Source organism: Homo sapiens, chromosome 22, assembly GCF_000001405.40.
Source record: "Homo sapiens chromosome 22, GRCh38.p14 Primary Assembly".
NCBI classification, from domain to species: domain Eukaryota; kingdom Metazoa; phylum Chordata; class Mammalia; order Primates; family Hominidae; genus Homo; species Homo sapiens.
This window is the reverse complement of record NC_000022.11, coordinates 46,929,297-46,941,538: the sequence shown is the minus strand read 5'-3', so window position 1 is coordinate 46,941,538 and position 12,242 is coordinate 46,929,297. Positions and strand designations below refer to the sequence as shown.

The 12,242-nt window shown below is 44.9% G+C and overlaps 1 protein-coding gene across 18 annotated transcripts in view, besides 4 other annotated features; it reads right to left on the bottom strand.

The window, feature by feature from the left end:
* The window catches only part of TBC1D22A (TBC1 domain family member 22A), a 413,050-nt gene that overhangs the window by 234,161 nt on the left and 166,647 nt on the right, over positions 1 to 12,242 (bottom strand). Inside the window, exons 9-10 of one of the 18 annotated variants that reach the window (XR_007067971.1) lie at positions 11,904 to 12,039; positions 9,527 to 11,062 (exon numbers count right to left, since the gene is read on the bottom strand). Coding sequence is in view for 1 of the 2 variants with exons in the window: in XM_017028747.3 (XP_016884236.1) it covers positions 11,960 to 12,039 (80 nt within the window). In the remaining variant the exon portion in view is untranslated. 18 annotated transcript variants of the gene reach the window in all.
* Positions 5,119 to 5,684: an enhancer, noted in NCBI's record as "H3K27ac-H3K4me1 hESC enhancer chr22:47331751-47332316 (GRCh37/hg19 assembly coordinates)". NCBI's record gives its function as "activates a minimal SCP1, AML or CMV promoter by ChIP-STARR-seq in naive H9 embryonic stem cells {active_cell/tissue: H9 hESC(naive)}" and the evidence as "EXISTENCE:reporter gene assay evidence [ECO:0000049][PMID:30033119]".
* Positions 6,051 to 7,250: an enhancer, noted in NCBI's record as "P300/CBP strongly-dependent group 1 enhancer chr22:47330185-47331384 (GRCh37/hg19 assembly coordinates)". NCBI's record gives its function as "activates an origin of replication core promoter dependent on BRD2, BRD4, P300/CBP, MED14 and CDK7 cofactors, with strong dependence on P300/CBP, by STARR-seq in HCT116 cells {active_cell/tissue: HCT116}" and the evidence as "EXISTENCE:reporter gene assay evidence [ECO:0000049][PMID:35650434]".
* Positions 7,784 to 7,953: an enhancer, noted in NCBI's record as "active region_19266". NCBI's record gives its function as "activates an Ori minimal core promoter by ATAC-STARR-seq in GM12878 lymphoblastoid cells {active_cell/tissue: GM12878}" and the evidence as "EXISTENCE:reporter gene assay evidence [ECO:0000049][PMID:35858748]".
* Positions 7,964 to 8,013: an enhancer, noted in NCBI's record as "active region_19265". NCBI's record gives its function as "activates an Ori minimal core promoter by ATAC-STARR-seq in GM12878 lymphoblastoid cells {active_cell/tissue: GM12878}" and the evidence as "EXISTENCE:reporter gene assay evidence [ECO:0000049][PMID:35858748]".

The window sequence follows — 12,242 nt, the reverse complement described above, 5'->3', positions numbered from 1 at the left end:
GTATATATATTCCGTGTATATATATTCCGTATATATATTCCGTGTATATATATTCCGTATATATATTCCGTGTATATATATTCCGTATATATATTCCGTGTATATATATTCCGTGTATATTCCGTATATATATTCTGTGTATATATATTCCGTATATATATTCTGTATATATATTCTGTATATATATTCTATATATATATATATTGTAGTGCCCCAGTCCCCATGCTGTTCAAGGGTAGACTGTGTATATACATATATATGTGTGCTAGTGCCCCAGCTTCCATGCTGTTCAAGGGTGGACTGTGTGTGTGTGTGTGTGTGTGTGTGTGTATACATATATACATATATATATATTCTAGTGTCCCAGTCCCCATGCTGTTCAAGGGTGGACTGTGTGTGTGTGTGTGTGTGTGTGTGTGTGTGTGTGTGTATGCTAGTGCCCCAGTCCCCATGCTGTTCAAGGGTGGACTATGTATATACATATATATGTGTGCTAGTGCCCCAGCCTCCATGCTGTTCAAGGGTGGACTGTGTATGTGTGTATATATACATACATACATATATATATATATTCTAGTGCCTCAGTCCCCATGCTGTTCAAGGGTGGACTGTGTATATACATATACATGTGTGCTAGTGCCCCAGCCTCCATGCTGTTCAAGGGTGGACTGTGTGTGTGGTATATATACATACATACATATATATATATATATATTCTAGTGCCCCGGTCCCCATGCTGTTCAAGGGTGGACTGTATATGTACATATATATGTGTGCTAGTGCCCCAGCCTCCATGCTGTTCAAGGGTGGACTGTGTGTGTGTGTATATACATACACACATATATATATATATTCTAGTGCCCCGGTCCCCATGCTGTTCAAGGGTGGACTGTGTATATACATATATATGTGTGCTAGTGCCCTAGCCTCCATGCTGTTCAAGGGTGGACTGTGTGTGTGCATGTGTGTGTGTGTGTATACATACACATACATATATATATATTCTAGTGCCCCAGTCCCCATGCTGTTCAAGGGTAGACTGTGTGTGTGTATATATATACATACATACATATATATATATATATTCTAGTGCCCCAGTCCCCATGCTGTTCAAGGGTGGACTGTGTATATACATATATATGTGTGCTGGTGCCCCAACCTCCATGCTGTTCAAGGGTGGACTGTGTGTATATATATATACTCATGCACGTTGTTGTATTGTGCTTTGCTCTATTGTGCTTCACAGATCCTGCATTTTTTACAAACTGAAGGTCTGTAGTGACCCTCCGTCGAGCAAGTCCATCAGTGCCATTTTCCCAACAGCATGTACATGCTTTGTGTCTTTGTGTCAGCATTTTTTAGCAAGGAAGCATTTTAAATTATGGTATGTATGCTGCTGTTTGAAACATATATTGCACACTTAATAGATGACAGTATAGTACAAAACATAACTTTTATATGGACTGGGAAACCAAAAAATTTGTGTGACTTTCTCGCAGTACTCCCTTTCTTGCAGTTGTCTGGAACCAAATCTGGAATATTTCCAAAGTATGCCTGTATAGTGGATCTAAAATGGGCAATATCCCTTGAATGCAAACGACTGCTCATCAACTGTCATGACTGAGCCTGGGTCACATCTGTAAGCAGTGATGCCAGCTTTCCAATTCCTCTCTCATAGGTCCCCTCTTGTCACTGCTTTGGGTTCTTCTTGCACTGATGTTGTTGAAACGCAACGGTGATTCTAAATGTCAAATGCATCTCTAATCGGTTTTAGCTCCTCGTTACTTCTAGTCATTTCTCCCATATTTTCATTGTCAAAACATAGTCTCTTTGATAATTTTGATGGCTTACAATTTTGTCGAAGACAGTCATCTTCTATGCTCCAAAATGGGAGAAGATTTTCCTTTTTAGATTTATGAACATCAATTACAATGACCAAGCCAATGGGTATTTTCATCTCTGCCTCTATTTCCTTCCAATTATCTCTTGATTGCTTTTAGCAATTATCCATTTACTAAGTGTACCAAATTTGGTCCATAAACGTCTTAAAAGATGAAAGAATACTGTCACTTATCTGTTTAACAAAAGGGGATGGTCCACATTCTTGTCATAAAATATTGTGTGATAAAGCCCATCCTTTTGAATGACTAATTGGATGAGAAACCATATTCCCTTCATATCCTTAGAATACTATTCACTCGTTGATGCTTGATTTTAAGAAAATTCATCTAAGCTATCTTCCACTGAAGGTGCACAGTCTGCGAATTCGCTGATATGATCAATTTCACCATCATCATTAGCATCTAGAGAGCTGCTCTCAATCTGTCTGCATTCATCTTCTGATTCATTTAATAATGGTGAAATGTCTTCCTCTGCCAATTTTCCTGTCATTGCTATTACAAGTGAAAAATAAAAAATTCTAAATTCTCTGTGCTTAATGAAAGCTAAAAGAAAAACAGACTTCAAAAATGGTGTCTCCAGATTGTTTTCACACCTTTTTGGAAGATAATGCAATCATATGGGTAACATAGTAAGAAAATTCAAGGATCATATAAAAGATATGGTTTATTCCACTATCACATGATTCTTGATGCCATCTCTTATTCTCCCATTCTATTATTTTAGTCCATTTCTACCATAGTGAGAAATAACTGGCCAGCTGTGGTGGCTCACGCCTGTAATCCCAGCATTTTGGGAGGCTGAGGCAGGGGGATCACCTCAGGTCGGGAGTTCGAGACCAGCCTGGCCAACATGGTGAAACCCCATCTCTACTAAAAATACAAAAATTAGCCAGGCATGGTGGCAGGTGCCTGTAATCCCAGCTACCCTGCAGGCTGAGGCAGGAGAATTGCTTGAACCCGGGAGGTGGAGGATGCAGTAAGCTGAGATTGTGCCACTGCACTCCAGCCTGGGCAACAGAGCAAGACTCCACCTCAAAAAAAAAAAAAAGAGAGAAATAACTGATTAATAATGATAAAATAATATCAAGAAAGAGAAAACAGCAAAATGTTTCCAGATAAAGATAAAAAAAAATACCATTAAGATGTGATCATGCAGCCATGCACTGCTTAACAGGGACACATTCTGAGAAATGCATCACTCGTCTATTTCATCGTTAACATCACAGAGTGCACTTACACACACCTAGAGCGAAGCCTACTGCACACCTAGGCTATATGGTATAGCCTGTTGCTCCTGGGCCACAAACCTGTGCAGCGTGTTACTGTAGTGAATACTGCGGGCAAATGAACACAAAGGTCAGTTTTTGTGTATCGAAACATATCTAAACACAGAAAAGGTACACTACAGATAAAGTAGTGAAGACAAAAAACTGTACACCTGTCTAAGGCATTTACCATGAGTGGGGCGTGCAGGACTGGAAGTTGCTCTGGGTGAGTCAGTGAGTGAGTGCTGAGTGGCTGCGAGGCCTGGGACATTACAGTGCACAGCTGGAGACTTCACGAGCACTGTGCACTTAGGCCACACGACATTTATTATTATTAATTTCCTTCATCAGTAATAAATGAACTTTAGTTAATGTACCTTTTTTACTTTATTAACTTTTTAACTTGACTTTTTTATAATAATACTTAGTTTAAAACTCAGATACATTGTACAGCTGTACCAAAATTATTTTTTCTTCATTTTCTTATTCTATAAGCTTTTTTCTGTCTTTAATTTTTTTTTTTACTTTTTCAACTTTTTTGTTAAATGCTAAGATACAAACACACACATTAGCCTAGGCCTACACAGGGTCAGGATCATTCATATCACAGGATCATCAATATCACATTAATTCCACCTCCACACCTTGTCCCACTGGAAGGTCTTCAGGGACAACAGCACACAGGGAGCTATCGTCTCCTCTGATAACTATGCCTTCTTCTGGATACCTCCTGAAAGACCAGCCTGAGGCTGTTTTACAGTTAACTTTTTTTTTAAATAACTTTTTTTTTAGAAGTATTACATTCTAAAATAACGATTATAGTATACTAAGCACTTAAACCAGTAACACAGTCATTTACTATCATGATCAAGTATTATGAACTGCATTTCTTACAGACCGGCAGTGCAGTAGGTTTGTTGACACCAGCATCAGCACAAACACGTGGTTAATGCATGCTGCTAAGACATTACAATGGCCATGATGTCACCAGGTGAGAGGAATTCTCCAGCTCGCACACAGTTCTGTGGTATACGCCATCCAGTGTTGACAGAAACGTCATTATGTGGCGCAGAACTGTATATCCTGGATTCCCCACAGATGCGGTGGGTCCATGTGGTAACTGCAGGCTAGAATGCATTTTCTTCTATTTTTTAAAAATAAGATTTTCTCCTTGTTCTTTGAAGAACAGGATAAAAATCACAAAACATCAATCCTTATAAAATAGTTTGAAATGTTCAAACATCCTAAAATGGACACGAGATTATGCCTTTCTTCAAAACAAAAGCAAAGCGCAGAGCATACCTGTGCCGGAATGCAAATCCCTGCGGCCCTCCTCAGGAGACCACAGAAGAACCCTATCTGTCACTGCCCCCCACAAAAAAGCCAAGCATGATGACTGTCAGCTGAAAACATTAATCTCAAGAACAGCTGTACACTTAGAGATTTTGAAACAATTTTCAGTCCCCAAGACTAGTCTCATTCGTTTATTTTTGTGAGTTTGCTTTTTGGTGAGTAGTTTTGTTTTTACTTTGAGTTAAAAACTTTAAAACTGCTGCAGACTAGGTCAGTGTGGCTTACGAAGAGCAGGGTAAATACTGCTCCTTGCCAGCCTGGTAAATACTCAAGAATAACTTTCTGCCCTACTGGGCTGTGTGTCCTCGCAGAGTGAGGCTCCCGTTCACACCTGATTCTTTTGTTCAGGGCTCCATTGCAGAGCCTGAGCGGTTAACTGACAGCCCTTGTCCAGAATCCGACAGAAAGATCCATAATTACCATGAGTCTGTCTCACGCTCCGCTTGTCAGGCTGTCCGCCAAAATTGTTTGGTAATGGAGATCATCAAAGGAGGATGGGAATGCCGGCCCTGGCCCCAGGCCCCAGCGGGCACAGTTCATTAAAGAGATGTGCTATGTACTGTTTGGGGCACTGCCTGTATATTCTGAGTTGCTTCTGGAGGAATCCTGAAAGCTCCCCAGCAGGGAGGCTGTGCGGGGAGCCACGAGGGCATGCAGAACCACGAGGAGCCTGGCCCCAGGACGAGGGCGTGCAGAACTGCGAGGAGCCTGGCCCCAGGAAGAGGGCGTGCAGAACCGCGAGGAGCCTGGCCCCAGGAGGACCCACCACACTGAGGCTCCCAGGCCTCACCCAATCACAGCGCAAAGGCAACAAGTCCCTACAGCCATCACAGGTGAGGGGACAACTCAAGGAAAGAACCATGAGTGTCAAGGTGACCAGCACATGCCCGGCACCCTCTGGCACCTAATAAATTCTCCACTAAGGTGGAACAGTGCTGAGGATGAGGCACTCAGAGCCTGGCATTAACTCAAAAGCTGATGAGGACAGAATAATCCAATGCTGACAGTGATCAAGTGACAGCAAACAGTTGCATAAGCACAGCGCTTCAGAGTTCAGAGGAGGGGCCAGGAGACAGCACAACAGCAAAGGCTACAGAGTCATGGGTTCAGAGTTCAGAGGAGGGGCCAGGAGACAGCGCGACAGCAAAGGCTACAGAGACACGGGGTCAGAGTTCAGAGGAGGGGCCAGGAGACAGCACAACAGCAAAGGCTACAGAGACATGGGTTCAGAGTTCAGAGGAGGGCCCAGGAGACAGCGCGACAGCAAAGGCTACAGAGACACGGGCATCTTTGAGGAAGAGAATGGGATAGAAGGACAGGGAGGAAGTCTAACTGGTTCCAGCCCACAGACGGCCCATAGCACAGCAGCAGAGCCGCCTGGGGAAGTGACCGCTGCAAGACTCCTAGACTCGGAAAGGAGGGGGGCGAGACGGAATCACAGGGAGAAATGTCACCCAAACTTCGAGCTTTGAATCCATTTAATGACTGGTCATTTTCCAAGAACTTTCTGAAGCTTCATGGTTTCTAACTGTATTTTCAAACTGCCCATACGGCCCTTGTGACAGGGGCTGCGGGGGAGTGGGGGTGCATCTGAATTCACTGTGCGAACTCAGTAACCCAGAGGCAACTTCAGGATTATAATTTTTTTGACTCACTTTTTAACAAGAATTCCCATTTTTTCTCATGTACTCCAGGATATCACTTAGAGTCCTGAATGTTCAACCAAAGTTTCTAATTTGCTGAAATACAGGGGCTTCGTCCCAGCCCTCTGAATGTGAGCTACAGGAGAGAAGGTGCTAATGTTGGACTCTACTCTGCTTGGCTGACATCAGAGGTAATATTACTTGTACCTTCTTAAGGCCACTTTCGAAACCTACTGATGCCTTCATTGCTTGGGGAGTCATATCAGTGACCAGCTGTGCCTGACACACAGATGACTCACCCTGAAAACCTGCATGATGAGACACTCAGAGGAAGCCCAGCACACCCAGGCCCCTATTGAACAGAAAATCAAGTTAACTGAAACCACCAAACCTCTAACCATGATATCAAACAGCTTTCTAAAGGAGACTCACCTCCCCTCCCCACCCTCTCCCTTCACCAGGCAAGCTGGCCTTGTGAAAACGCTGTGGCCACCACACGCTGATGGCCCCTGAGCCCAGGGAGGGCCCCTGGACAGGCGAAGGGTGGGCAGACCATATTTCACATGAGCTGCTCCCTCTCCAGCAGCGTAACACCAACACTCGAGGCAACGCTGAGCGGGGGCGGCACGCATTGCCCTGCACTGAACCAGAGAGGAGACAGACTTAGAGCAGACCCTTCCTGGAAGTGGGTGACGTGTCCCCGGGCTAGAGCATGGACGCGCCTCACCCTCAGGACTCCATCACTACTGCCAAGGGACTGCAATGGCAGAGTCCTTGCCGTCTTATGAAGTGAGTCCTAAAAAAGAAGAGTCTTCCCCAAGAGTAGTATAGACGATTTGGGGGATGGTGAGAGACTCCTGCTCTCTCTGGCAAGTGAAAGGAGCTGCAATTTGCTGACAGCCAACTGCACACTGGAGTCTTTAACTTTCCTAACAACCCTCCAAGATACTCACTACTCCCACTGGCCCGAGTTTACGGCACTGAGAAAGGGTGCGTGCCCACGCGTACCACACACCCCAGAGCACGAAGGCTGAGAATGTAACCGAGGTTTCCAGGACTCCAAAGCCCAGTGCCTTCTGCTACGCACTTGAGTGTCTCCACTTTTGATAAACACATAACTCTCATGTCCTTTTTCCCTGGTACTTAAAATTTCAAGGTAAAGTAGATTCCTTAGTTATCTGCAAAGAGAAAATTTAATTTTGATCATGAAAACTACAAATCCTTACTTGGATCATGAGAAATAAAAAGTCTGCAAACTCACCCATTCACTGGGTCAAAAAGCCTTGCCTGTGCCATTTTGTTTTTCCTTTCGAGAAGATAAAGATGGCAAGAAAAGCAAATAGAAAAAAGAAAATATTAAAAGGCACATATCAAATATAAACTCCCACACCCCACAAAGTGGGAGTCCAGCTTTCTCAAGTGTGAAAAGGCTAAACGCTGGAGACCACCTGGCCACACAGCCTCAACTCAGCCTGGCTCATCCCCACACCCCTGTCCCCACCTCTGCTTCCTCTCACACTAAAGCTGTGTTTCCCAAGACCAGAACCAAGCCACGTGTGGCTACTTAATTTGAAATAAATGAAAATGAAACAGAACTGAACCTTCAGTGGTGCTGGTCACATTTCCCGTGCTCAGGGGCCACGTGGCTGCAGTCAACACCCGCCCCGGGCAGTGCAGAGAGAGAACACACGCATCTGAGTGCAGAGGCTGCCGGCCAGTGCCACCCTGGCACAGGGGGCCAACCCCCCCCCAGTGGTCTCTCCCTGTCTCTGTCCTCAGAATTAAATAGCATCCCTGTGTGGAAGAGGCCAGAGAGGGCAGAGACTCAGGAGAGGAAGAAGAACTTCCTCTCACCCCATCAGAGACTGCCTCGTTTCCCTCCCACTGGGTTGGCCAAGAGAAAGCCCTGTCCAAGAGCAGAACTTTCACACACCTCAATTCATCTCCATGGCTTCGACTAATTCCAAGCCATGCTGAAAATCCTGGACCTGGAGAAACCTCTCCTTCTACTGAGGATCGGAAGACACTGCTTACCTAATGGGAAGGCCCACCTGAGGCCCAGGACCTGCACCTCACCTTGACTGTCCTCTGCCCTCTGCTCAGAGCACACGCTGTGGTTGTGATCATGATTAACTTTTGTTTATTTGGAGAAAGTGGTCCTGAGAAGAATGCCACCTGCTAGAACTGCTGATGGATCCTAACAGCTCAAAGATAGGAATGGAAGGCAGATGGGTGCTAGGCAGAAAATGTAAAATTTCCAGAGGGAGGAAATGCAAGTAGCAGAAGACAATGGCAGCCAGCAAGCTACCTGCTCCCAGCACTTCCTCCCAAATGATGCCAAAAAGCAAGGAGGAGGCCGGGCACAGTGGCTCACGCCTGTCATCCCAGCACTTTGGGAGGCCAAGGCAGGCGGATCACAAGGTCAGGAGTTCAAGACTAGCCTAACCAACATGGTGAAACCTCATCTCTACTAAAAATAAAAAAATTAGCCAGGCGTGGTGGCAGGTGCCTGTAATCCCAGCTAATCAGGAGGCTGAGGCAGGAGAATTGCTTGAACCTGGGAGGCAGAGGTTGCAGTGAGCCAAGATCACACCACTTCACTTCAGCCTGGGCAACAGGGCGAGACTCCATCTCAAAAAAAAAAAAAAAAAAAAAAGCAAGAAGGACAACGCACACTGCACTAAACCCTATCCTCAGAGAATGCCACACTGCCAGTGAGAAGGAGTCATCTCCACCGCGATCGCCCCTTGCCACCCACCCAAGGCTCCGTGATGGGTGGAAAACCATGGGGAGGAGAAGACACGGGGAGGGGGCCATGGGAAATGAAGTAAACTTCCTACTTCCTTTTATGAGGCAAGCATAACATTTATTCCTAAACCTGAGGAAAACGGTACTCCACCAAAAAACCCTACACACCACTGTCACTCGTGGATACAAATGCAAAAGCTGAAGGACAAATATTGCAAATATATGACCAAGAAAAAATCAACACCACATCTGAATTCTCAACAGGTCTTTCTCTGGCCTTTACTCTTTGAGGTGACAAGCTGGTGGAGAAACCATGAGTTCTGGGGCCGGGAGAACGGTCACAGCACGGCCTTGACGGGCAACCTGGGGGAGTCACAACAGTCATGTATGGTGGTGTCGCCAGAGGGCATTTAAGAATTCCAGGTGATCATGTAATGACCTGCTTAGCGCAGTGTCTGACACGGTGAACCCGCCACTAGTCACCATCGTCTTCACTGACAGAGTCTTGCTCTGACTAGCACAGGACTTACACTTTCTATAAACGCACAAATGGGGGCATGCATGAGCCAGGAAAGAAACCGCGTAACATCAGAATAAGGCATTCCTCGACAATGAATCAATCTGTGAGCAGAAATTTATTTTTCCCAGGTTGTGACACTGAATTGGAAATACAAAGAAAACAACAGATCACAGAATATACCACAAGGATCTCCTAACTAAATGCCATTAAGCTTTTAAAGTCCATTAACATTTCTAGGAACAAAATAAAAATTATGCATAACATGCAACAGCAGCCAGGAATGGAGAAAACTACACGAAAAATGAAGGTCCGTCAGATCAGTCTTGACCATGCTCCTCAGTATGGCTTTAAAGGGATTAAGAATCAGACCCAGGAAAGAGAGTCCATGAAATTTCTGAAACTTTAAGTGAGGTGTGGGGCCAGGCGTCTGTCTGGGGAGAAGAGGATCCACAGTCTTCAGGACATTCCCAAAGGTGCCGCCTCCCAACCACAAGAACTCCTAACACAAAGCAGGCACCCTCTGCTGGCTGTGGCCGACTTGGGTGAGTTTAGTCTTAAGAGTTTTCAAAGGTGCTGGTTTGAATTACTCAAGTTCCTGGATATTAAATTATGTGGCATTTATATTAGGAGGGCTAAAAGTGGGAGGATACCTCTTATGTATTTGTTGGTTTATTTCCTCTTAGAGCCAGAACCACTTCAACAATGACTGTAATTTTAAAACTGGAAATGAAGAGAAACTCATTTTTTAAAAAAGAAAATGAATTGGGAAAAACATGAAACTGCATTTGAGTGGAACAGAAATAGAACTTGTTCTCTGAAGGAAAAGGTCCAAATTAACAAGGATAAAAATCCCAACATCTCAGCCTTGAGGACCAGATTCAAATGAATAAGAACTCTGGCTATGTATCATTAAGAAAAGCCAGATAATGGAGAAAGGAATCCTTTGATTTCACTATCAGCTGCAAGCATAAAAACCACATGACCAAGTAATTCCATGGCGGGCTCTGAGACAGCGACTTCCAAAGCTGCCTGCGGTCCAGAGGTAGAACAGGAGGGACTAGAACTCTGGAACTGAAACGGTGGGGCCTTACAAGCCACTTAACCTCTCTATATCCCTTCTTCTAAACTAAGAGCAGCAGTGTCTACCTTACAAGGCTGCTGTGAGAATTAGGGAGATATACGGTAAAGTTAATCAAACTGTAAATTTAGCTTAGGTGAATTTGTGTAAGGTAGAAAGGCAGGAAGGAAGGAGAGCCCCTTATTCATCCCCATAATCCCACATCATTTAAACTACATACTGGCTTTGGCTCCAAATAAATGGAAGCCAGGATTTAAAATCAAGGAAAGGCTGGGCGCGGTGGCTCACACCTGTAATCCCAGCACTTTGGGAGGCCGAGGCAGGTGGATCACGAGGTCAGGAGATCGAGACCATCCTGGCTAACATGGTGAAACCCCATCTCTACTAAAAATACAAAAAAAAAAAAAATTAGCCAGGCGTGGTGGTGGGCGCCCGTAGTCCCAGCTACTCAGGAGGCTGAGGCAGAAGAACGGCATGAACCTGGGAGGTGGAGCTTGCAGTGAGCCAAGATCGCGCCATTGCACTCCAGCCTGGGTGACAGAGCGAGACTCCGTCTAAATAAGTAAATAAATAAATGCAAGGAAAAAAAACAGGTTAATTCTTGGATGTTGAGTATCAGAGTTCCCAAGTCCTACTGACTTCAGGGACTATGAGGGTAATTTTGACTCCCCACAATTTCACTTTAAAACCTAACCCAACCTATCCACCACCACACACATATAACACTTGGCCTGGAGTGAAAACTCAATAAATGTCAGATACTATAATACAATATACAAAATGCTTCACCAAAACCAGTGTATTGGTAACACAGGAGCAGACTGCAGGCCGGCGTGGTCTGATGGGGGAGACAGTGAGAAGGAGCCAGGAATCAAGAAAACGGACAGCAAGGTCCCAAAGACAGGCTCAAGGCCAAAGAAAGGGCTGACCTTCTGCTTGGGGAGCTTATGACAATATACAGGTTCCACATCATTGTTTACAAGGAATGCTAACATCGTCCTCTGCATAAAGTACATCAGGGACTTGCAAGATGCTGACTCAGGCACTGCATTTCCATAAAATGGCCCAAACTGAGCTCTCTACTGCTGCCTCCCAAAGGGGTCCACACACACATAGGGGCTGAGGAGCAGAGTTCTGTGTGGAAAGTTCCCAGCACACCAGGTCCAGGGGACCGTTGGGCACATGCTTGCTTCTCCCACACTAGCACACTCTAAGCACGAGGCCTGCAGTCCACGGATTCCAATCCAATTGTTCAATTGTTGTTTTACCACACATGTGCATGCATGCACATACATGCATGCACACACGCACACGCACACACACACACACACCCTTGTCTTTGCTGACTTTCTAATCAGGCCAGTTGAATAAGGTACCTTGAGGTTGAAAACTCACATGTCAGTACTGGAGAGTGTATTAATTGCTCCTGGCTCCTCAATTCACTGAGTCACTTAGCATCTTTGAGCTCGTGCCCATGTGGAAGCAGCCTTGCGTGTGAATACTAAAGCATCTATCCATGAATGAAGTACATCTGTAAGCACACAGACACAGATGTTTGTCCTGTCAAGCCAATCAAAGACCTATTAATAATTAAGGGAAAGAAAATACCAAAGATAGAGTAAGACGGCACTCTCTCACATGGTGGTGAGAATATACGTATTCATTTCTTTCTGGAAAACAACCTAGCAAATGTTATCCAGACCTAAAAACACTCACAGCCATTGATTCAGTGAC